The sequence below is a fragment of the Homo sapiens genome, chromosome 22, assembly GCF_000001405.40.
Source record: "Homo sapiens chromosome 22, GRCh38.p14 Primary Assembly".
Classification (NCBI taxonomy): domain Eukaryota; kingdom Metazoa; phylum Chordata; class Mammalia; order Primates; family Hominidae; genus Homo; species Homo sapiens.
In genome coordinates this window covers 19,250,500-19,276,334 of record NC_000022.11, presented here as the reverse complement: position 1 = coordinate 19,276,334, position 25,835 = coordinate 19,250,500, and the positions used below count along the sequence as shown (strand labels likewise).

The 25,835-nt window shown below is 42.4% G+C and overlaps 1 protein-coding gene and 2 pseudogenes across 20 annotated transcripts in view, besides 2 other annotated features; 2 read left to right on the top strand and 1 right to left on the bottom strand.

Moving 5' to 3' along the window:
* Window positions 1–25,835, top strand: part of CLTCL1 (clathrin heavy chain like 1) — a 112,247-nt gene that overhangs the window by 15,385 nt on the left and 71,027 nt on the right. For 19 of the 20 annotated variants that reach the window (XM_047441517.1, XM_047441515.1, XM_017028954.3 and 16 more), the window contains exons 2-3: window positions 505–712; window positions 22,108–22,376. In XM_047441517.1, the coding sequence (XP_047297473.1) occupies window positions 505–712; window positions 22,108–22,376 (477 nt within the window). Of the gene's footprint in view, window positions 1–504; window positions 713–17,445; window positions 18,531–22,107; window positions 22,377–25,835 lie in introns of those variants that run through there. The other variant, XM_047441514.1, reaches the window with a different exon arrangement.
* Window positions 538–1,037: an enhancer, noted in NCBI's record as "H3K4me1 hESC enhancer chr22:19262821-19263320 (GRCh37/hg19 assembly coordinates)". NCBI's record gives its function as "activates a minimal SCP1, AML or CMV promoter by ChIP-STARR-seq in primed H9 embryonic stem cells {active_cell/tissue: H9 hESC(primed)}" and the evidence as "EXISTENCE:reporter gene assay evidence [ECO:0000049][PMID:30033119]".
* Window positions 1,038–1,539: an enhancer, noted in NCBI's record as "H3K4me1 hESC enhancer chr22:19262319-19262820 (GRCh37/hg19 assembly coordinates)". NCBI's record gives its function as "activates a minimal SCP1, AML or CMV promoter by ChIP-STARR-seq in primed H9 embryonic stem cells {active_cell/tissue: H9 hESC(primed)}" and the evidence as "EXISTENCE:reporter gene assay evidence [ECO:0000049][PMID:30033119]".
* Window positions 17,474–18,858, bottom strand: KRT18P62 (keratin 18 pseudogene 62; annotated as a pseudogene).
* On the top strand, window positions 22,866–23,204 carry DVL1P1 (dishevelled segment polarity protein 1 pseudogene 1; annotated as a pseudogene).

Here is a 25,835-nt window from a genome sequence, read left to right as displayed (position 1 = left end):
AGGTTTGATGATATCTAGGGAAATGTTTAAGCAAAAACTTTTGGCCAGTTCTTTTTTCTTGCCTTTTGGAGAAATCAGGTTTTGTGTTTCCTCCCTTTTTCCCTTCCACTTCCCTCGCCTTCACCTCTCCAAGACCTCCTTCCTCCCAAAGCTCTCCTCGGTGGTGGGCTTATCTGTGACACCTTATCTGATGGTGTTCTTTGGGAGTTCACCCCCAACTCATCTCCTCCTGTCTGTATCACTTGTGGCGTCCTTGACACTGCCTAGTGTCATCCTGCACATGTCTTATCTCCACTGTGGGCTGGTAATCTCTCAAGGAGAGTTGATTCACAGGCTTGGGTGGATCTATTACAGGCGTAGAAAAGCAAGCTAATGTTTCCTTCAAGTGTTTACCTAATGTTAACTTTTTTCTAAATTTTATTTAACTTCTCCTCTTTTGCCTTTGGCTACAGTCAGTCCATTTCAGAGGAAAAAAATTTAATCAAATGCTTTTTTTCTGTTTAGCTCCAAAACCTTGGAATTAATCCAGCTAACATTGGATTCAGCACACTGACCATGGAATCTGACAAGTTCATATGTATCCGAGAGAAAGTTGGTGAGCAGGCACAGGTCACGATCATTGACATGAGTGACCCAATGGCTCCGATCCGACGGCCTATCTCTGCAGAGAGTGCCATCATGAATCCAGCCTCTAAGGTGATAGCTCTGAAAGGTAAACCCGATGGGATTGTTAGAAAGGAATCTTACCTCATTTTAACTGCTTTGTTACCTTAAATATTGAACAAGTGTCACTAAGCTCATGGCGAAGTGCTCCTCAATAGTATTCCACTTAATTCCAAAAGTTTTAGCAAAAGTTATGTTTAGTGTGCCCTAGTAAGAGGCCCCTGAGCACCAGAGCTTCTTGGTAACATCACCCACAGCGCCAGACACACCGAGAGGAAGAAAATGCCCAGGCCTTTGTCTTCATGCGACTAGGAACGCACAACAGCACTGTGCATGTTTCCCAGGAAGGCTGTGTGGCCCCCTTGCCTGAGGGCCTGCTGCAGTGGTGCTTCCGGTCATCCGACGACACAGGCTCGGGGGTTTTCCTCCTGTGAAACACATCAATGATAGAGGAGCTGATAATTAATAGAATTTTACTTCCTTGAAATCAGGGAGTCTTGGGTGCTTAAAGCCTTCTAGTTATCTTGAAAAATATAGAATCTTCTTATATTGCCTTCATTTGGCAAATAAAAGGATTATGTATGCAGTAGACTTAATGTTTTGTGTGAAATGCAGTATCACTTACTTTGAAAAGCAAAAACTGGGCCGGGCGCAGTGACTCATGCCTGTAATCCCAGCACTTTGGGAGGCCGAGGCAGGCAGATCACCTGAGGTTGGGAGTTCGAAGACTAGCCTGACCAACATGGAGAAACCCCATCTCTATTAAAAATACAAAAAATTAGCTGGGCGTGGTGGCGCATGCCTGTAATCCCAGCTCCTCAGGAAGGCTGAGGAGAATCTCTTGAACCCAGGAGGTGGAGGTTGCGGTGAGCAGAGATCGCGCCATTGCACTCCAGCCTGGACAACAAGAGCAAAAATCGGTCTCAAAAAAAAAAAAAAAAGAAACAAAGAAAAGCAAAAACTGTTTCTGGAGGTAAAATTTGTGAATGCCAAATATTAGCTTTGCCTAGGCTTCTATTTTATTACAGAAATAGTGTCTACTTGGTCATTTCAGTAGGTAGAAGGACATCTGAAAGTTAAGACCTTTCTATTTAAAAAGAAATAACTGAAATTCTTTTATTTGAAAGGATCTTTGTTCTATTACCAACCCTACCTTTTCCCTTGTAATCTTGTCAAAGTAATTATTTGAACATATAGTGTAAGCAGTATAAATGATTTTGGTTAGAAATTATTACAATTATGGGATATTAATGATGCTTTTATCTGTCTCTTACTTTGTCACTTACCCCTTGGCTCTTTTTGATGGAATATTTGCCTTGCAGTGTCGCCCTTTTCTGCATTTTATGTTGTTGTAGTACTTAAAAAAATATTTGTAGAGAAGGGGGTCCCACCATGTTGTTCAGGCTGGTCTTGAGCTCCTGGCCTCAAGTGATCCTCCTGCCTTGGCCTCTCAAAGTGCTTGGATTATAGGCATGAGCCACTGTACCCAGCCTTGTTGTAGTACTTTTGAGAGGCCTTATTTAGCATGTTGTTTGCGGTTTTGTTTGCTGTTTAGTGTTTTCAGCAGGTCTCAGAAATGATCTGCATTTTAATCTTCCTGGTTTTCTGGTACAGTTCTCTTTAACAATGTGCAGTGCGGAGCTCCTAGGGTGTGTGTGTGTGTGTTGTGGTGTGGAGTCGGGGAGTAAAGAGAACGCAATAGTTAGATGTTGTCAATCCCTTCCAGCCAAAGACCACCAGGAACACACTTGCAGTTGAAGAAGGTGGGTTTACTGTTGCAGTGGGAGAGAACACACGCCATGGGGAACTGGGGAGTGTCTCAGTAAGAAGGTGTTAGAGCCTTTTATAGGATTTGGGCTTTGGTTGGATGATTTAGGGGGTAGTCTAAGGAAGCAGGGGTTTGCTGTAGATTGGATGTTGGCAGCAAGTGGGGGTAATTTTTATGATTGCGTATCTCAATAAATTTCATCTATTAGGGAGGGAAGACTAGAGTGAGATTAAAGCTATAATGGGTAAAGAAGTAGCAGTCACTCATTTTAGCTGAAAGAGAGGCGTGTTGGTATTTTGTGAGTTGCGCAGTAACCTTGTTTTTTCTGTGCTTGCTGTGTCTCACTTGATCGTGGTCTCAGAGGGCCCTTGCCTGAGGCTGGTGTTCTCCAAGGTGGTTTATGTCCATCAGGAGAGCAGCATGGCCTTGCTGTGATTGCCAGGCCAGCTTCCAGGTGGCAGGGGCTGCTGCTTTTTATTTTCGTTCTTAATGGTCATATAGATCACTTCAACTATAACATGTTGAGTCTTGTTTTCTTTTCCGTGGGGGAAGTGTAAGACTCTGGAACCAAAAAGGGACATAATTTTAAGGCTTTATCTTATTTTTACTGCTAATTCTGTAGCAGTAAAATCTCAGATCATTGTAGTACAAATCGTTGACAAGTGGAGGATGTACAGTGTGTTTTCAAGGCCCTACACCAAAATGAGCAAACTGTCTTTGAAGAAAGAGTTGTTTGTATAGTGATTGGTTGATGGAGATGATTGATTTGTAAGTGAGCTCCTCAGAGTCCTCTGCCATATCACACACCTTGACTAGCTTCTAGGATCCAGTGCAGAAATACAGGGTGTGTGGGGGGGTGCTGCACCTTGTATCTCACAGATTTTTCCCATTTTGGCTGGTGAAGTTTTGTGATTGGAAAGGGGCTCGTGAAGCAGCTCTCGGACCTCCCTTTACAAAAAGGGCTAGGCCAGGTGGCTCATGTCTGTAATCCCAGTGCTTTGGGAGGCCAAGGCTGGAGAATTACTTGAGCCCAGGAGTTCGAAGTTGTAGTGAGCTATTATCGTGCCACTGCATTCCAGCCTGGGTGACAGAGCAAGACCCTGTCCCTAAAAATAATATTAAATTAAATTAAGGCCGGGCGTGGTGGCTCACGCCTGTAATCCCAACACTTTGGGAGGCCGAGGCAGGCAGATCACCTGGAGGTCGGGAGTTCGAGACCAGCCTGACGAACGTGGAGTAACCTCCTCTCTACTAAAAATACAAAAATTAGCTGGGCGTGGTGGCGTGCACCTGTAATCTCAGTTACTCGGGAGGCTGAGGCGGGAGAATCACTTGAACCCAGGAGGCAGAAGTTGCAGTGAGCCAAGATCGTGCTATTGCACTCTAGCCTGGGCAACAAGAGCGAAACTCTGTCTCAAACAAACAAACAAAAAAGAGCGAAACTCTGTCTCAAAAAAAAATTAAAAGGGACACCATTGCAGCCTGTCCTCATGCCTGGCCGTGAACTCCCAAGTGCTCAGAGATACTCAGCCCACGTCATTGCCCGGCTTTCTGGAGAAGCCTGGAGCAGATTCACTTACCCAGTACCCAGTCTCTGTTCATACTTTCTTTGCTGACGGATTTGTGGTGAATTCTTTAAAACCAGATACATTTTGCCTTTGACTTAAAGAGCATGAAGTGGTGGCAGAATTACTCATCTGTTGCTTGTGATTTTAGTGGAACACCTTAACTGAGGGATTGGCAAACGGTCTGCTTTTTGCTCCTGAACTAGGAATGTTTTTTATTTGTTTGTTTTAAGATCAGGTCTCTCTCTGTCATCCAGGCAGGAATGCAGTGATGTGATCATGGCTCACTGTAGCCTTGAACTCCTGGGCTCAAACGATCCTCCTGCGTCAGCCTCTGAAGTAGCTAGGACTACAGGCACATGCCACCATGCCCAGCTAATGTTTAAACATTTTTTGTAGAGATGGTATCTGACTATGTTGCCCAGGCTGATCTCAAACTCCTGGCCTAAAATGATCCTCTCACCTCAGCCTTCCAAAGTCCTGAGACTACTGATGTGAGCCACCTCAATTGGCCAAGAATGGTTTTTATGAGGAGTTGTAAAAACAAAACAAAACAAAACAGACAGAGGTCTTTTATGTCCTTTTATAGGGAAAGTTGGCAGATACCTTGCATTACTGGCCCAGGTGTGATATTGTCAATTTTATTATGAAACATTGTGTGTTGGTCCGTTCTCACAGTGCTATAAAGAACTACCTGAGACAGGATAATTTATGAAGAAAAGAGGTTGAATTGACTCACAGTTCCATAGGCTATATAGGAAGCTTGGCTAGGAGGCCTGAGGAAACTTATAATCATGGCAGAAGGTGAAGGGGAAGCAAGCATGTCTTACCGTAGCGGAGCAGTAGAGAGAGAACAAAAGGGGGAGTGCCATACACACACACTTTTTTTTAACTGCTCCTTGCAGAGCAGGGCTAACCCACAGGCAGTGTGTCCAGAGTAGCCACACACACACTTATACCCATCAGATCTCGTGAGAACTCACTCACTATCACCAGAACAGCAAGGGGGAAATCTGCCTCCATGATCCAGTCACCTCCCACCAGGTCCCTCTCCAACACTGGGAACTACAACTTGAGATGAGATTTGAGTGGGGACACAGAACCAAACCATATCACATTACCTTTTCAGTATTTATATGTATCTCTTTTTACAAACTTTACCTTTTTTCTCTTAATTTTTAGAAGTAGATGGAGTATAGGCTAATCTAGTATCTGTGCGGCAGAGTTGGCACTGAGCTCAGTGGGGGATAGAAGAGGGGGAATGGCACCCCCTGGAGGCCCCCTCCTCACCTAGACTACTTAAGTCTGACCTGAAGTATTTCCCAAAGAAGGCTGGTCCTTTTTTGGTCCTTTTAGTGATGCTGAATATTTTGTGCCTCATAAACACATGTTCATTTAAACCAGGCTAAGGACAACTTGACAAGTTTTCAAGCTAGAAGAAATTTCCTCTGTGATCTAAGGCTGCTTGACACTAAAAGGTACCCCCATCCTGACAGCGTACCACCAAGAATTTTTGGTCCAGATTTTTTTTTTATATCTTTCTTTGTCTGCTTTTTTCAAGTATAATTTACATACCATAACATTCACTTATTCTTTTTTTTTTTTTTTTTTTGAGTTGGAGTCTCGCTCTGTTGCCCAGGCTGGAGTGCAGTGGCATGGTCTTGGCTCACTGCAACCTCTGCCTCCCGGGTTCACACCATTCTCCTGCCTCAGCCTCCTGAGTAGCTGGGACTACAGGTGCCCACCATCACACCCAGCTAATTTTTTGTATTTTTAGTAGAGACGGGGTTTCACCATGTTAGCCAGGATGGTCTCGATCTCTTGACTTTGTGATCCACCTGCCTCAGCCTCCCAAAGTGCTGGGATTACAGGCATGAGCCACCGTGCCCGACCAACATTCACTCCTTCTCGGTGATTTTTAGTGAATTCATAGAGTTGTGGAATCATCTCTACAATACAGTTTTGGAACATGTCTGCAACCCCAGAAAGTTTCCTCATGCCTGTTTAGAACCATTCTCACTCCTACTCCCGGCCCGAGGCAGCAACTCATCTGCTTTCTTCCTCAACAGACTTTCTTGTAGACAATTCAAATAAATGGAATCATACAATATGTAGTCTTTTACATCTGGCTTCCTTTACCTAGCATAGTGTTTTTGAGGTCCATCCATGTTATAACATGTATCAGTAGTTTGTTCCTTTTTATTGTCTAATAGTGTTTCATTGTATGGATATGCCACATTTTGTTTTTCCATTCACCAGTTGATGGACATTTGGATTGTTTCCAGTTTTTAGCTATTAAGAATATTGCTGCTATCAATGCTCACTGACAAGTCTTTGTGTGGACATATTTTCTTTGTTGTTGTTGTTCTGCAATTTCTTTTTTTTTTTTTTAATTTTACTTTAAGTTCCAGGATACATGTGCAGAACATGCAGGTTTATTACATAGGTATACATGTGCCATGGTAGTTTGCTTCCCCTATCAACCCATCCTCTAGGTTTTAAGCCCTGCATACATTAACTTTGTCCTGATGCTCTCTCTCTCTTCGCCCCCCACTCCCCTGACAGGCCTGGTGTGTGTTGTTCCCCTCGCTGTGTCCATGTGTTCACTTGTTCAACTCCCACTTATGAGTGAGAACATGCAGTGTTTGGTTTTCTGTTCCTGTGTTAGTTTGCTGAGGATGATGGCTTCCAGCTTCATCCATGTCCCTGCAAAGGACATGATCTCATTTCTTTTTGTGGCTGCATAGTATTCCGTGGTGTGTATGTACCACATTTTCCAGTCCATCACTGATGGGCATTTGGGTTGGTTCCATGTCTTTGCTATTGTAAATAGTGCTGCAATAAACATATGTGTGCATGTGGACATATATTTTCATTTCTCTTGGGTGGAGTAGAATTGCTGGATCATATGATAAATTTGTTTAGCTTTTTTTTTCAGATGGAGTCTCACTCTATCGCCCATCCAGGCTGGAGTGCAATGGCATGATATTGGCTCACTGTAACCTCTGCTGCCCAGGTTCAAGTGATTCTCCTGCCTCAGCCTCCCAAGTAGCTGGGATTACAGGCACCTGCCATTGCGCTTGGCTAATTTTTGTGTTTTTTGTAGGGACGGGGTTTCACCATCTCAGCCATGCTGGTCTTGAAGTCCTGACCTCATGATCCACCCCCTTGGCCTCCCAAAGTGCTGGGATTACAGGCGTGAACCACCACTACCGGCCTGTTTAGCTTTTTTTCTTCTTTTTTTTTTTTTTTGAGGAGTCTTGCTCTGTCACCCAGGCTGGAGTGCAGTGGCGCTATCGCGGCTCACTGCAGCCTCTGCCTCCTGGGTTCAAGCAATTCTCCTGCCTCAGCCTCCCGAGTAGCTGGGACTACAGGTATGTGCCGCCACGCCTGGCTAATTTTTGTATTTTTAGTAGAGACGAGGTTTCACCATGTTGGCCAGGATGGTCTTGATCTGACCTTGTGATCCACCTGCGTTGGCCTCCCAAATTGCTGGAATTACAGGCATGAGCCACTGCACCTGGCCCTGTTTAGCTTTTTAAGAAACTGCCCAACTGTTTTCCAAAGTGACTGTCTCATTTTATGTACCCATCAGCAATGTATGAGGATGCCAGTTTCTCCACACATCCATGCCAACACTTGATACTATCTTTTTTATTATAGCAATTCCAGTGGTTGTGTACTAGCATTTTGCAGTTTTAATTTGTATTTCTCTAATGCCTAATTATGTTAAATATCTTTTATTTTTAAATATGATTATTAACCATTTATATATATTTTCTGAGAAATGTCTATTTAAATATTTGCCCAGTTCTTAATTGTGTTGTCCATCTTATTATTGAATTATAAGAGTTCTTTATATATTCTGGATATACATAGTTTATCAGCTATGTGATTTACATATATTTTCTCCCAGTCTGTACCTTGTCTTTTCATTCTCCTAATGACATCTTGTCTTAGTCTGTTTGTGCTGCTATAATGAAATGGCTGACACTGGGAAATCTATAAAGAATAGAAATTTATTTCTCATAGTTCTGGAGGCTGGGAAGTCCAAGATTAAGATGCTACCAGATAGTGTGTCTGTTAAGGGTTCACACTCCACTTCCAAGATGGCCCCTGTTGCTGCATCCTCTGGAGGGGAGGAACACTGTGACAGAAGGGCAAAAAGGAACCTAAGTCCCTCCATCAAGCTCTTTTGTGAGAACATGAGGGCTTGCCTCCCAAAAGGCTCCATCTCCCAACACTTGGGGATGAAGTTTCAGCATGCATTTTGGAGAGAACAAAAAACATTCAAACCATAGGATATGTTTTGAAGGGCAAAACTTACTAATTTTGATAAAGCCCAACTTACCTATTTTTTTTTTCTTTAATGGATCATGCTTTTGGAGTCATAGCTAAGAGTGCTTAGCCTATGGTTTTGTAGTTTTAATTTTTTTTTTTTTTGAGACAGAGTCTTGTTCTTCTCACCCAGCCTGGAGTGCAGGGGCGCAATCTTGGCTCACTGCAACCTCTGCCTCCTGGGTTCAAGCGATTCTCCTGCCTCAGCCTTCCAAGTAGCTGGGATTACAGGTGCCTGCCACCATGCCTGGCTAGTTTTTTGTATGCTTAGTAGAGATGGGGTTTCCCCATGTTGGCCAAGCTGGTCTTGAACTCCTGACCTCAGGTAATCCACCTGCCTCAGCCTCACAAAGTATTGGGATTACAGGTGTGAGCCACTGTGCCCGACCCAGATCTGTGCCCATTCTTGCACCGATTACTTGATAGTTGTAGCTTTATGGTAATTTGGAAGTCAGATAGTGTTGGTACTCCAACTTAGTGTTTTTCAAAATAGTTTTTGAAACTCTTTGAAACGAGATCCTTTGAATTGCCACATAAATTTTGGGTTTAGTTTGTGAATTCCTACAAAAATCCTTCTGGGGCTTTGATAGAGATTACATTGAATTTATCAATTTGGTAAGAATTGCTATCTTGACAATATTAAGTCTTCTAGTCATTTAATGTCTCTGTTTATTTAGATCTTTAATTTCTTTCAGTGATGTTTTGCATATTCAGTGAGCAAATCCTATACTTCTTTGTTAAATTTATTCCCAAGTATTTTATTCTTTTTTTATGTTATTATATACAGACTTATTTTCTTAGTTTTATTTTTGGATTGTTTCTTGCTAGTATATAGAAATAAAATAATTTTTGTATATTTTTCTGTATCCTATATACTTATTAAACTTATTCTTGTAGTTTTTAGTGGATTCCTTGGCATTTTCTACATACTGTATCATGTTATCTGTGAATAGACAGTTTTACATCTTCCTTTCTAATCCAGATTCTGTTTGTTTCAACATTGCATCGGCTAGAATACCCAGTACAGTATTAAACAGAAGTGACAAGAACAGAAATCGTTGAATTATTTCTGACCTTAGGGGGGAGTTTTTAGCCTTTTACAATTAAATATGATGTTGGCTGTGGATTTGGGGTAGATAAATCCTTTATCAAGTTGGAGAAGTTCCCTTCTATTTTCTGTGTCTACTGAGATGATCACATAGTTTGTGTCCTTTATTAGTGTGGTGTATTACATAAATTAATTATTGGCTATTAAGCCAACCTTGCATTCCTGTGGTAAATCTCTTTTGGTCATGGTGTATGGTGGTTTTTTTATGTTGTTGGATTTTGTTCACTAATATTCTAAGGGTTTTCTGTTATTTTTATAATTGGTCTATAGTTTTCTTTTCTTGTGATGTCCTTTTGTGACTTTGTAATTAGGCAAATGTTGGCCTTAGAGAATGAGGTCCTTCTTCCTCTATATTCTGAAAGAATCTGTGAAGGACTTATTTCTGTCTTCTTTGAGTATTTGATAGAATTCAACAGTGAAAGCCTTCTGGTCCTGGGGTTTTCTTTGTGGGAAGATTTTAAATTTCAAATTCAACTTCCTTACTTGCTGTGAATCTGTTCAGATTTTCTGTTTTCTTGTGTCAGTTTTGGTAATTTGTGTCTTTCTAGGAATGTATCCAGGTTATCTAAGTCTTCTAGTATGTTGACATAAAATTGTTCATAATATTCGCTTCTTTTAATTTCTTTGGGGTTGGCAGTGGTGCCCTCTTTCATTCTTAATTTTGATAATTTGTGTCTTCTGTTTTTTTCTTGATCATTAACTAAGGTTTGGGTCAGGCCTGGTGGCTCATACCTGTAATCCCAGCACTTTGGGAGTCTGAAGTGACAGGATCACTTGGGACCAGAAGTTCAAGACCAGCCTGGGCAACATAGGGAGACTCCATCTCTACAAATTAAAAAACAAAAACAAAAAACTAGCCAGTGTGGTAGTACGTGTCTGTGGTTCCAGCTACTCAGAAGTCTGAGGCTTGAGGATCATCCTAAGCCCATTATGTCAAGGCTACAGTGAGCTGGGATAGTGCCATTGCACTCCAGCCTAGGTAACAGAGTGAGACCCTGTCTGTAAAAATAAATAAATAAGATTTGTTAGTTTTCTTGATTGTTTTGAAAAACCCTACTTCTGGCAAGGTGTATATAGGCTGCTTCAGGAACATGCGCACAGCTGCCTACCCTGTGCCTTTCTTGTTAAAATGTAGCATACCATTTTAATTCTTCTGAATTTTTCTTTTTACTATTTTGTGTATGTATGTGTATTTTTATGGTGGTTGCTGTAGGGTTTATAAAATGCATCCTAACATCACAAATGATTTCAGATTATTAATATTAACTTCTGTTAAAATGCAGAAATTTCACTCCAGCATAGCTTCATTTCCTCCTCCCTCTGTTGTGCTATTTTTATCATTCATATATATGAATATATAAAATATATTAAAAAAGAGAAAATAAGATGCATATATGCATCTATATATGTTATAAACTCAACAACCTGTAGTTTTATTGTGGTTTTAAATGATATTATTTAATGAAATTAAGAGAAATCTTTATACTAACCAACATATTTATCATATCCAGTGCTCTTTATTTCTTTTTGTGGATTTGAGCTCCCATCTTAGTTCAGTCTGATTAGAAGTCATTTACCATAAGCTGTTAGTGCCTGAAGACAGTGAGGGTCTAACATTTACCATTTTGACTAGAGAGCAAAACTACATCACACCTAAATTATGTCCAAAAGCAGTTGTTTTATAAATTTATATAGTTTAAACTTAAGTTGATAATATAGTTATAGCTAACTTTAGAACTGTTTTATGGCAGCAGGCCTTTATCTTACTGATCATGTGTTTTGGATATAAATTGTATCAAATTTCGGCTGGGCACGGTGGCTCACACCTGTAATCCCAGCACTTTGGGAGCACAAGGTAGGTGGATCACCTGAGGTCAGGAGTTTGAGACCAGCCTGGCCAACATGGTGAAACCCTGTCTCTACTAAAAATACAAAAATTTGCTGGGCATGTTGGTGTATGCCTATAATCCCAGCTACTTGGGACGCTGAAGGAGGACAATCACTTGAATCCGGGAGGCGGAGGTTGCAATGAACCTAGATCGACCCATTGCACTCCAGCTTGGGCCCCAAAAGCGAAACTCTGTCTCAAAAAAAAAAAAATTGCATGAAATTTCACCATTGAGTTGCTCCTTTTTGTGAATTCAAGAAATCATCTTAATTATTGCCCAGGTATATCATGATATCATTAAAGACTTTCTGTTAGCAACAGCAGCCTTATTTCTCAAATTGTGGTTTAAAACCAGTTTTGCTAATTGATGATAATATTGTAATAATATCAGTTGTTGCGTAGCTTGGCTAACTAACTGGATAGTCAGATTAACTCTTTTTTTCTAGCTGTGTACCTCAGAGATAGTAGTACCTCAAAAAAAGCTAGATCTGTAAATAATTCCGCTGTTAACATGAGTGTACAGATGTCTTTTGGGGAACCTGTTTTTAATCCTTTTAATTCTATACCCACAAGTAATTGACTGGATCATATCATTATTCATTTTTAATTTTTTTGAGGAACTGCCATCTCTTTTCTATAGTGGTTGCACTATTTTATATTCTCAGTAGTGCACAGGGTTCCAATTTTTTCACATTCTTGCTAACACTTGTTATTTGTATTGTTTTCTTTTTAATGGTAGCCATTTTTTTTTTTTTTTAAGAGACTGTAACTTCGAACTCCTGGACTCAAGCTATCCTCCTACCTCAGCCTCCCAAGTAGCTAGGACTATAGGCATGCGCCACTACAACCAGCTAATTAAAAACATTTTTTCTTTGTAGAGACAGGGTCTTGCCATGTTGCCCAGGCTGTCTTAAACTCTTGGCCTCACATGATCATCCCGTCTCAGCTTCCCAAAGCGCTAGGATTACAGGCGTGAACCACTCCACGTGGGTCATTTTTTAACTGGACTATTTGTGTTTTTTGTTGTTGAGTTGTAGGCATTCTTTATATATTCTGGATATTAACCCCTTGTCAGATATATGATTTCCATATACAGGCATACCTTGAAGATATTTTGAGTTCAATTCCAAACTACCACAATAAAAAGAATATTACAATAGTGAGTTACATGAATTTTTTGGTTTCCCAGTGCATATAAAAGTTATGTTTATACTATGCTGTAATCTATTAAGTGTGAAATAGCATTATGTCTAAAAAAATGGATTATCTTAATTAAAAAATAATTTGGCTGGGTGCAGTGGCTCACGCCTATAATCCCAGCACTTTGGGAGGCCGAGGCAGGAGAATCACAAGGTCAGGAGATCAAGACCATCCTGGCTAACACAGTGAAACCCTGTCTCTACTAAAAATACAAAACCCAAAAATTAGCTGGGCGTGGTGGCGGTTGCCTGTAGTCCCAGCCTGTCAAGAGGCTGAGGCGGAGAATGGTGTGAACCCGGGAGGCAGAGGTTGCAGTGAGCCAAGACTGCGCCACTGCACTTCAGCCTGGGTGACAGAGTGAGACTCCATCTCAAAAAATAAAAATAAAAATAAAAATAAATAATTTATGGCCAGGCATGGTGGCATATACCTCTAATCCTAGTACTTTCAGAGGCCAAGGTGGGAAGATCGCTTGAGCCTAAGAATTCAAGAGCAGCATGGCAAAGAATACAGTGAGACCTTAGCTCAAAAAAAAAAAAAAAAAATTCTGGGTGTGGTGGTGCACGCCTGTAGTCTCACCTACTCAAGGAGGCTGAGATGGGAGAATATCTTGAGCCCAGGAGTCTGATGACTGCATGTCAGCCTGGGTTACAGAGAGAGACTCTGTCTCAAAATAAATAAATAAATAAATGAATAATCTATTTATTTATTCCTAAAAATTGCTTACCATTATCAGCCTTCAGTGAGTTGTAATCTTTTTTTTTTTTTTTTTTAAAGATGGAGTCTCTCTCTGTCACCCAGGCTGGAGTGCAGTGGCGTTATCTCAACTCTCTGCAACTTCTGTTTACCAGGGTTAAGGGATCCTCCTGCCTCAGCCTCCCGAGTAGCTGGGATTACAAGCACGTGCGACCACGCCCAGCTAATTTTTGTATTTTTAGTAGAGATGGGGTTTCACCATGTTGGCCAGGCTGATCTCGAACTCCTGACCTCAAGTGATCTGCCGGCCTCAGCCTCCCAAAGTGCTGGGATTACAGGCATGAGCCACTGTACCCAGCTGCGAGTTGTAAACTTTTTACTGGTGGAGGGTCTTGCCTTGATGCCAATGGCTGCTGATTGATCACAGTGGTGGTGGCTGAAGGCTGGAGTGGCTGTGGCAATTTTTTTTTTTTTTTTGAGACAGAGTCTTACCCTGTTGCCCAGGCTGGAGTGCAGTAGTGCAATCTCGGCTCACTGTAAGCTCCGCCTCCCGGGTTCATGCCATTCTCCTGCCTCAGCCTCCCAAATAGGTGGGACCACAGGCACCTGCCACCAAGCCCAGCCAATTTTTTGTATTTTTAGTAGAGATGGGGTTTCACCACATTAGCCAGGATGGTCTCCATCTCCTGACTTCGTGATCCACCTGCCTCAGCCTCCCAAAGTGCTGGGACTACAGGCATGAGCCACCGCGACAGGCTGGCAATTTCTTAAAATAAGACATCAGGCTGGGTGCGGTGGCTTATGCCTGTAATCCCAGCACTTTGGGAGGCTGAGGCAGGCAGATCATGAGGTCAAGAGATCGAGACCATCCTGGCCAACATGGTGAAACCCCGTCTCTACTAAAAATACAAAAAAATTAGCTGGGCCTGGTGGCACGCTCCTGTAGTCCCAGCTACTTGGGAGGCTGAGGCAGGAGAATCGCTTGAATCCGGGAGGTGGAGGTTGCAGTGAGCCAAGATCACGCCACTGCACTCCAGTCTGGCAACAGAGTGAGACTCCATCTCAAAAAACAAATAAATAAATAATAAATAATTTTAAAAAAAGACATCAGTGAGGTTTCCGCAGGGATTGACTCTTCCTTTAATGAAAGATTGCTCTGTAGCGTGCAATGCTGTTTGCTAACATTTTACCCACAGTAGACTTCTTCCAGAATTGGAGTCAGTCCTTTCAGACTCTGGTGCTGCTTTATCAGGTAAGTTTATGTACTGTTCTAAATTCTTGTAGTAATTTCAACAGTGTTCACAGCATCTTCACTGGGAGTAGATTCCATTGGAAGAAACCCCTTTCTTTGGTCATCCCTAAGAAGCAGCCCTCATCTGTTCAAGTTTGATCCTGAGATTGCAACAATTCAGTCCCATCTTCAGGCTCCACTTCTAATTCTCTTGCTGTTTCTACCACATCTGCAATGACTTCCTCCACTGAAGTCCTGAACCTCACAAAGTCATTCATGAGGGTTGGAATACACTTCTTCCAAATTCCTGTTAATATTGATATTTTGATCTCCTCTCGTGAATCACGAATGTTCTTAGTTGCATCTAGAATGGTGAATCCTTTCCAGGAGGTTATCAATTTACTTCGCCTAGATCCATCAAAGGAGACATATTTATGGCAGCTGTAGCCTTTAAAAATGTATTTCTTAGGCTGGGCACGGTGGCTTCCGCCTGTAATCCCAGCACTGTGGGAGGCTGAGGCGGGTGGATCACAAGGTCAGGAGGTCGAGACCATCCTGGCTAACACGGTGAAACCCCTTCTCTATTAAAAATACAAGACATTAGCTGGGCATGGTTGGGCGCCTGTAGTCCCAGCTACTGGGGAGGCTGAGGCAGGAGAATGGCGTGAACCCGGGAGGCGGAGCTTGCAGTGAGCCAAGATTACGCCACTGCACTCCAGCCTGGGCAACAGAGCAAAGACTCCGTCTCAAAAAAAAAAAAAATGCATTTCTTAAATAATAAGACTTGAAAGGTGAAATTACTCTTTGATCCACGGATTGCAGAATTGATGTGTTAGCAGGCATGAAAACAGCTTTCATCTCCTTGTATATCTCCGTCAGAGCTCTTAGGTGACCAGGTGCATTGTCAAAGAGCAGTAATCTTTTGAAAGGAACCTTTTTTTTTTTTTCTGATCAGTAGATCTGAACAGTGAGTTTTAAATATTCAGTAAATCATGCTGTAAACAGATGTACTATCATCACGACTCTTGTTTTTCCATTCATAGAACACAGGCAGAGGAGATTTAGCATAATTCTTTTTTTTTTTTTTTTTTTTTTTTTGAGACAGAGTTTCACTCTTGTTGCCCAGGCTGGAGTGCAGTGGCACGATATTGGCTCACCGCAACCTCCACCTCCCGAGTTCAAGGGATTCTCCTGCCTCAGCCTCCCAAGTAGCTGGAATTACAGGCATGCACCACCATGCCCGGCTAATTTTTTGTATTTTTAGTAGAGACGGGGTTTCTTTCCACGTTGGTCAGGCTGATCTCGAACTCCTGACCTCAAGTGATCTGCCTGCCTCAGCCTTCCAAAGTGCTGGGATTACAGGTGTGAGCCACTGCGCCCAGTCAATTTAGCATAATTCTTAAGGGCCTTAGGATTTTTGGAGTGGTCGGTGAGCATTCCTTCCATTTAAAGTTACCAGCTGCATTATCCCCTAACAAGAGAGTTAACCTGTCTTCTGAAGCTTTGAAGCCAGGCATTGACTTCTCTCTTGCTTGAGTCCTAAATGGCATCTTTTTCCAGTAGGAGGTTGTTTCTTCTCCATTGAAAATTTGTTCATCAATGATCTTAGCTAGGTCGTCTGGAGAACTTGACACAGCTTCTGCATCAGAACTTGCTGCTTCACCTTGCCGTTTTATGCTATGGAGATGGCTTCTTTCATTAAACCTCATGAATCAACCTCTGCTAGCTTCAGACTTCTGCAACTTCTTCACCTCTCTCAGCCTTCATGGAATTGCAGAGAGTTAGGGCCTTGCTGTGGATTAGGCTTTGGCTTAAGGGATTGTTCTGGCTGCTTAGATCTTCTATCCAGGCCACTACAACTTTGTCCATATCAGCAGTAAGGCTGTTTGTTTTCTTATCATTAATGTGTTCACTGAAATAGCACTTTTAATTTCCTTAAATAACTTTTCCTTTGTGTTCACAAGTTGGCTAACTGGTGCAAGAGACCTAACCTTCAGTCTGCCTTGGCTTTTGACATGCCTTCCTCACAAAGCCTAATCATTCCTAACTTTTGACTTAAAGTGAGAGACGTAGGACTCTTCCTTTCACTTTCACTTTCCTTTAGCAAGGAAGGTTGTTAAATGGCCTAATTTCAATATTGTTGTGTCTCAGGGAATAAGGAGGCCTGAAGAGAGGAAGAGGGACTAGGGCATGGCCAGTCAGTGGAGCAGTTAGAACACACACATTTATTAAGTCCACTATCTTATATGTGTGTGGTTCATGGTGACACAAAACAATTACTGTAATAACATGAAAGATCACTGATCACAGAGCAGTATAACAAATATAATAATGAAAAAGTTTGAAATATCATGAGAATTACCAAAGTGTGACCCAGAGACAGGAAGTGAGCACATGCTGTTGGAAAAATGATACCAATAGACTTGCTTGATGGAAGATTGCCGCAAACCTTTGATTTTTTTTGTTGTTGTTGTTCACAAAACAAAAAAAACGCCTGTAATCCCAGCACTTTGGGAGGCCGAGGCGGGCAGATCACCTGAGGTCAGGAGTTCGAGACCAGCCTGGCCAACATGGTAAAACCCCGTCTCTACTAAAAATACAAAAATTAGTCGGGCATGGTGGTGGGCGCCTGTAATCCCAACTACTACAGAGGCTGAGGCAGGAGAATCTCTTGAACCTGAGAGGCAGAGGTGGCAGTGAGCCAAGATCATGCCATTGCACTCCAGCCTGGGCAACAAGAGCGAAACGCTGTCTCAAACAAAACAAAACAACAAAACAAGTGCAATATCTGCAAGACACAATAAAACAAAGTGTAATAAAGTGAGGTATGCCTATATTTTCTCTTATTCTGTGGGTTGCCTTTTCTCTCTTTTGTGACCTCTGATGCTGTCCAATTCATTTTTTTTCTTTTATTGTCATATCCAAAAAAATCATTGCAAGATCCAATGTCATCAAGCTTTTCCCCTATGTTTTCTCTAAACATTTTATGATTTTAATTGTTGGGGTTTTTTTTAACCTGTGAACTTTTTACTGGCCTCCTGCTCCCCAAAGGGTACCCTGCTTCTGCTGGCTCAATTCCTCAGAACTTTGGTGTCGTTGGTCTCAAACACCACTTTGCCGTCCACTATCCTGCAGGTGGTGGTCTTTTGGATGGTTTGCATGGAGTTGCTGCTGTCTAGGGCCTCACCAAGATTGAAGTCCTCCCCATCTTCCAGCAGGCGGTGGTAGGTGGTGATCTCAGCCTCCAGATTGACCTGGATGTTCCAGGCCTCGTACTCCTGGGCCTGGCGCTGTCCCTCTGCCCAGGTCTGTGCCAGCTCCGACTCCAGGTACAGTAGGACCCTGTTGAGCTGCTCCATCTGCGTGGTATAGCAGGCCTCCACCTCCCTTAGGCTGTTCTCCAAGCTGATCTTCAGATTTCTCATCAAGTCCAGGCCAATCTCCAAGGACTGGACTGGACATCTCAGCTCTGTGAGTGTTATCTCAGCAGCTCTGATCTCGGTGGACTGCGTGATGACCACTGTGGTGCTCTCCTCAATCTGCTGGGATCAGTACCTGTCCAGCTTCTCTAGGTTCTTCTGAGTCAGCTTGTCATATTGGGCCCAGATATCTGCCATGATCTTGCCAAGGTCCTGATATTTGGACATCTGCCTCCACAGTCAACCCAAAGCTAGTAATACGGGCTTGTAGGCCTTTTACTCCCTCTTCATGGTTCTTCATGAAGAACAGCTTCTCCTTGAGAGTCTCAATCTTTGTCTTCATCTACAGCCCAGTGACACTGGTGTCATCAGTGACCTTGCAGAGCCCATGGATGTCGCTCCTCACAAACTGGTGCATGGCCAGCTCTGTCTCATACTTGACTCTAAAGTCAGCAGCAGCAAGATGGGCATTGTCAGTGTGCAGAACGATGAAGGCATTGTCCACAGAATTTGCAAAGATCTGAGCCATCAGCTTCTCAGTGGTCTTGAAGTAATGGCCCAGTCTCTGACCTGGGGTCTCTTCTTCTCCAGGTGCTCCCGGTTTTTGCTCTCCAGCCTCTAATTCTCAGTCTCCAGGCTCCTCACTCTGTCCAGGTAGGAGGCCAGGTGGTCGTTCAGGCTTTGCATGGTCTCCTTCTCATTCTAGATGCCCCCTATTCCTGCCAGACCCCTGGCCATCCCAGTGGCCAGGGCCCTGGACCCCAAGCCACCCTGGAAACTGGTGGAGCAGGACACAGAGATCTGGGAGCCCAAATCCCTTACATCTGCATAGATGCCGGCTGGACTGCTGATCAACCGGGTACTGTAGCTGGGCGGCTGGACGGATCCCAGGGACTGGTAGTTAGTAGAGAAGGTAGTGGAGTGAGTGGTGAAACTCATGCTGTCTGGGGAGGAAAGTGAGAGAACAGGACTCAGGTTCTGCCTGTGATTTTAGTTTTTATGTTTAGGTCTTTAATCCATTTTGAGTTACTTTTTGTATATGGTATAAGGTAAGGGTCCAATTTTATTATTTTGTGGACCCAGTTTTCCCAGTATTATTTGTTGAAAAGAGTATTCTTTTTTCTCATTGAATGGTCTTAGTACCCTTGTCAAAGATCATTTGATCATATATGTGAAGGTTCATTTTTGAGTTCTCTCTTATATTCCACTGGTGTCTGTGTTTCTATGCTGTTACCATACATTTGCTTACTTTAACTTTGTAATGAGGTTTAAATTCAGGAAGTGTGAGATCATCCAACCTTGTTCATCTTTATCAAGATTATTTTGGCTATTTGAGGTCCTTTGAGGTTCCATATACATTTTAGAATGGATTTTTCTATTTTTATAAAAAATGTGTTTGGGCCTATTGAGTTTTTTGAGGCACTTTTATCAAATCAGTGCATGCAGCTGTTTCTAGACTTTCTTCTGTTTCATTGATCTATGTGTCTTATGACAATAACATAGGTTTTATTAATAGCTTTATAGTACATCTCAACATTAGGTATTGTAAGTCTTCCAGCTTTGCTCTTTTCCAAATTTGTTATGTCTATTCTTTGTCCTCTGCATTTCCATATTCATTATAGCATCATTTTATTTTCCACCAAGCAAACAAAAGATGCTGGGCCAGGGTGGTGGCTCACACCTGTTATCCCAGCACTTCGACAGGCTGAGATGGAAGGATTGCATGAGGCCAGGAGTTTGAGACCAGCCTGGGCAGCATAGCAAGACCTAGTCTCTAAAAAAAAAAAAAAATTAAAAATTAGACTGGGCATGGTGGCTCGCGCCTATAATCCCAGCACTTTGGGAGGCTGAGGCAGGCGACTCACTTGAGGTCAAGAGTTTGAGACCAGCGTGGCCAACATGGTGAAACCCCATCTCTACAAAAAAATGCGAAAATTAGGTGGGCGTGATGGCATGTGCCTGTAATCCCTGATACTCGGGGGGCTGAGGCAGGAGAATCACTTGAACCTGGGAGGTGGAGGCTGCATTGAGCTGAGATGATGCCACTGCACTCCAGCCTGGGCAACAGAGAGAGACTGTGTCTCAAAAAAAAAAAAAAAAAAAAGATAAAAGAAAAAGAAAAAAAAAAGAAAAATTAGCTGAGTGTGGCAGTGCATGCCTATAGTCCCAACTACTTGAGAGGCTGAGGCAGGAGGATCACTTGAGCCCAGGAATTTGAGGTTGCAATGAGCTATGATTGCTCCACTGTACTCCAGCCTGGGTGACAAAGTGAGGCCCTGTATCTATTAAAAAGAAAGAAAGAAAGAAGGAAAAGGATTCTGGGATTTTGATTGGGATTGCATTGAACCTGTACGTAATTTATGGGGAAATGACATCTTGGCAATTTTAAGTGTTCTGATCCATGAACATGGTATGCCCCTTCTTTTATTTAAGCCTTTACTTTCTTTCAGGAATATTTTATAGTGTAGAGACTTTGCTTACCCTTTGTTAAATTTACTCCAAAATGCTATGTTTTGGGTGGTGGTATGAATTTTTTTTTTTTTTTTTTTGAGACAGAGTCTTACTCTGTCGGTCAGGCTAGAGTGCAGTGGCACAATTTTGGCTCACTGCAACCTCCGCCTCCCAGGCTCAAGCAATTCTCCTGCCTCAGCCTCCCGAGTAGCTGGGATTACAGGAGTGTGCCACCATGCCCGGCTAATTTTCGTATTTTTAGTAGAGACGGGGTTTCACCATGTTGGCCAGGCTGTTCTTGAACTCCTGACCTCCGGTAATCTACCTGCCTCAGCTTCCCAAAGTGCTGGGATTACAGGCGTGAGCCACCATGCCCGGCCTGAATTCTTTTTTATATTTCCAAATTGTTTGCTGCTAGTATCTCAAAATTCAGTTGATTTTTTTTGAGACCTGTTTTCACTTTGTCACCCAGGCTGGAGTGCAGTGGCATCATCTTGGCTCACTGCAACCTCTGCCTCCTGGGTTCAAGCGATTCTCCTGCCTCAGCCTCTCAAGTAGCTGGAATTACAGGTGACTGCCACCAAGCCCGGCTAATTTTTGTATTTTTGGTAGAGATGGGGTTTCACCATGTTGACCAGACTGGTCTCAAACTCCTGACCTCAAGAGATCCACCAGCCTCAGCCTCCCAAAGTGCTGGGAATACAGGTGTGAGCCACTGTGCCCAGCCCAATTGAAATTTTTGTAGGTTGTCTTTGCATCTTGCTGCACTCCTGTAGTCATCTATTAATTCTAATAGTTGTTTTGTAGATTTGTAGATTCTGCAGGATTTTCTTTGTAAATAATTATGTTGTCTGTGAGTTAAGACAGCTTTACTTCCTTTTTTGATCTTTATGCCTTTTATTTTTCTTGCCTTATCACACCAGCTATGTTATTCTCAGTATCAAAACAAGTGGTCAGAGAAATAATCCTTGCCTTGTTCCCAATCTTTGTGGGAAGCAATATTTTAATATTTTATGTTAGGTCTAAATTTTGTATAATTCCAAAATCAAAATTTAGTTCATTGCTACATGTAGAAACAATATGGATCTCTTGCCAGAGAATGGATGCCAAATATTTTGTCTAGAATTGTACTGCCCTATTGGACATTAGCTACATGGGGCTGTTTAACACTTAAATTAATTAAAGTTAAATAAAAGTATAAATTCAGTTCCTGAAATATCTTGCTAGATACATCTTAAGTGCTTAGTAGCCACATATAGCTATTATCTGCTGTGATGGATACAAATATAGAATATATCCAACATTGTAGAAAATTCCATTTGTCAGCATTGGTCTAGAATTTAAGACAAATTTGGAGAAGTTGGTTTAATGTGAAGGGATAGTTGTAGTCTTTCTTGAAAATTGGAGACCACACAGAGAAGGGGTGTCTTATGTTTTTGCTGAGTTATCCAGAAAAGTATTTTAAAACTAGAAGAAACCAATCTAAAAGAGAGGCTTGCTTCAGTAGAACTAATTTCTCATTGTTATTCACATATTTCTATGAATAGTTACATACTTTTACATTCCTCTGAAGAAGAATTTAATGCATACAGGCTCTTCTCAATATTTAGACATTAAGGTATGCTTAATTACTACTCTGGCAGCATCTTTCAGACCCTGTTAATCAGATTAGCAGTACAACCTAAAGTAATATTAAAAGAATTCAGAATTAAGAGTATATGAATTTGTCTTTCAGATTTTTAATTTGTCTTTCTCTAATCTCTATTATATCAAATACTAGCTGGGAAGACACTTCAGATCTTTAATATTGAGATGAAGAGTAAAATGAAGGCTCATACTATGGCAGAAGAAGTGATTTTCTGGAAATGGGTTTCTGTGAACACTGTTGCCTTGGTGACCGAGACCGCGGTCTACCACTGGAGCATGGAAGGTGACTCCCAGCCCATGAAGATGTTTGATAGACATACCAGTCTGGTGGGCTGCCAGGTGATTCACTACCGGACTGATGAGTACCAGAAGTGGCTGCTGCTCGTAGGCATCTCGGCTCAGGTAAGCCTTGAGCTGCCTTTAGGGGCTGGTCTGATGTAACTTCAAAGCCCAATATTAGAATGGAGTGGTTAAATCATTAGAAGTTGGTTATAGGGCCAGGTGCGGTGGCTCATGCCTGTAATCCCAGCACTTTGGGAGGCCGAGGCGGGAGGATCTCTTGAGGTCAGGGGTTTGAGGTTGCAGTGAGCCAAGATTGCGCCACTGCACTCCAGCCTGGGCAACAGAGCAAGACCCTGTCTCAAAAAAAAAAAAAGTTGGTTATAGGTATAAGGCAAAAGTAGGCCTGGAACTGAGAGAAATAGAGATTACAAAGAAATCTGAACTTGGATCAAATAATCTTAATTTACCTTTGGCCTATTAACTACTACTGCATTCCTTCAGGTTACTGATGTTCATTGTATAAACTATTTCTAGCACTGTTTTGAGAGGTTGTTGAGGAATTTTATAGAGTAATTTGGAACCCATAGTTTTATAAGAAGTAGTCCTTCGGGAAGACGAGAGAGGGCTAGACATCCTGCCCACTGCGTCCCAGCCAGGGCAGGGAGGGACCGTGGCCCATGGGGTCAAAGGGCCCCGATGTGCACAGCTGCCGCAGGGAGGGAGGTCTTGGGGAAATGGGCGGTCAGCTGGCCTGTCCTTGGTAATTGCACACACTGCCCGCACACACCACGGCCCACACACAACGCGGCCTTCCTGGCATCTCTGGCCCCCGTGTGTCTGCACTGTAGGTATTGTATCAAAGTCCCAGCATCTAGATGGTTAACATAGAGCTGCTTCTGTGTAAATGCTGCTTATTTGAAACACTAAAAAGCATTTAATTTTATGGGAAAAAAAAGAAGTAGTTCTTAGACTGTATTTTAAGGACTTACTGGAATGTTACTAACTCATATTCTATTATACTGAAAGCAGTATCTTTTTGTCCTCCCTTTTTTTTTTTTTTTTTTTGAGACGGAGTCTTACTCTGTCACCCAAGCTGGAGTGCAGTGGCGCGATCTCGGCTCACTGCAAGCTCTGCCTCCTGGGTTCATGCCATTCTCCTGCCTCAGCCTCCCCAGTAGCTGGGACTACAGGCGCCCACCACCATGCCTGGCTAATTTTTTGTATTTTTAGTAGAGATGGGGTTTCTCCGTGTTAGCCAGGATGGCCTTGATCTCCTGACCTCGTGATCCGCCCGCCTTGGCCTCCCAAAGTGCTGGGATTACAGGCGTGAGCCACCGCGCCCGTCCCCTTTTTTCATTCCTGGTGGCTAATTCAGTCACCAGATACTTGAGGACTACAGGATGTTTGCACTTGGGACATAGATCTTCGTCATTCAATCCTGATGACCAGTGAATGATTTGTCTATAGCCTAGTGGGGAAGGTGTATCTGCACAATTCTAGTAATTAAGGAACTGTCACATGTTTGAAGAGAATACTGTGGGAGCCATGAGAGAGCAGCTTAAGTCAAGACAGCCTGCAACACAGGGGATCTAAGATGCATTTTGCTAGCTATTAAAGTGCACTTTGGAAGGACACAGTGTATGCAAAGGCACAGAATGGAGGAGAATGGCTCTTTCTGGGAGTCTGGGGTCACCCACCGTGGATGATACCTATAGGTAAGCATATTAGGTAGCTAGAGGGGCAAGACTTAGAGAGATGATTGGGGGCCAGACTGCAGGCAATGGGAATTATGTAGCAGGTTTTGAGTGAGAGTGATGTAATTAATTTTCCTTCTTAGCAGCATAGTGGAATTGAAAAAATGCTATCATTGATGTTGAAGATGGACCACCATGAAGACTGGAGGCCAGGAGACTAGTTGAAAGGCAGATACAGGAACAAAACCATGTAGTCTGTTCTGGAATAGAGACATGTATGAGAAAGGTTAAGAATACGCAAACAGGGAAGGAGTACTTCCATTTCTGGAACGCTCTGTTCCATTTCTGCAACCCCCAGAAGATATGAAGCATGTGTGACTAGATGAAGGCAGTGGCATTGCAGATATACAGGGGAGACAAGACCTAAGACTTTGGCTTACTCACCCTGATAAAGGGCATCTACAACAAATACAACTAACATCTTACTTCATGTTGAAAAACTGAAAGCTTTCCCCCAAGGATCAGAAACAAGACAAGGATGTCTTCTCTTGCTACTTCTGTTCAGCTTTGGACTAGAGATTCTAGCCAGGGCAATTAGGTGAGAAAAACATAAAAGGCATCTAGATTTAGGCTGGGCACGGTGGCTCACGCCTGTAATCCCAGCACTTTGGGAGGCCAAGGCGGGCGGATCACGAGGTCAGGAGATTGAGACCATCCTGGCTAACACGGTGAAACCCCGTCTCTACTAAAAATACAAAAAATTAGCCGGGCACGGTGGCGGGCGCCTGTAGTCCCAGCTACTCGGGAGGCTGAGGCAGGAGAATGGCATGAACCCGGGAGGCGGAGCTTGCAGTGACCGAGATAGCACCACCACAGTCCGGCCTGGGCAAAAGAGCGAGACTCCGTCTCAGAAACAAAACAAAACAAAAAGGCATCTAGATTTAAATGGAAGAATTAAAGCTGTCTCTATTTGCAGATGACATAAGCTTGTATATGGAAATCCTAAGGAATCTAGTAAAAAACTATTAGAACTAATAAACAAATTGAACAAGGTTACAGAATACAATATCAGTTTGCAAACATCAATTGTGTTCCTAAACATTTGCAACGAACAATCCAAAAATGAAATCAGGAAAGCAATCTCATTAATAATAACATCAAAAAGAATAAAATACTTAGAGGTAAATTTAATTTAAAAAGTGCAAAAGTTACATTCTGAAAACTACAAAACATGTTTGGAAGTAATTAAAGAAGATCTAAATCGAAAAATATTGCATGTTCATGGACTCGAAGATTTAATACTTTTAGGATGGAAGTACTCCTCAAATTGGTCTACAAATTCAACATAATCTCTATTGGAATACCAGCTAGCTTCTTTGTAGAAGTTGGCAAGATGATCCTAAAATTTATGTGGAATTGCAAGGAACCCAGAATAGCCAAAACAACCATAAAACAAATAAAAAGTTGGAGTACTTATACTTCCCAATTTTAAAACTTGCCACAAACCTACAGTGATCCAGAATGTGGTACTAGCTGGGCTCAGTGACTCATGCCTGTAATCCCAGCACTTTGGGAGGTTGAGGAAGGTGGATAACCTGAGCCCAGGAGTTCGAGACCAGCCTAGGCAACATGGCAAAACCCATTTTTTACAAAAAATGCAAAAACTAGCCAGGCATGATGGCATGCACCTGTAGTTCCAGCTACTCTGGAGGCTGAGGTGGGAGAATTGCTTGAGCCTGGGAGGTGGAGGTTACAGTGAACTGAGATTGCACCACTACACTCCAGCCTGGGTGACAGAGTGAGACCTTGTCTAAAAAAAAATTAAAAAAGTTAAAAAAAATAGAATGTGGTACTAACTTGAGAATAGATGACAAACAAATTAGCT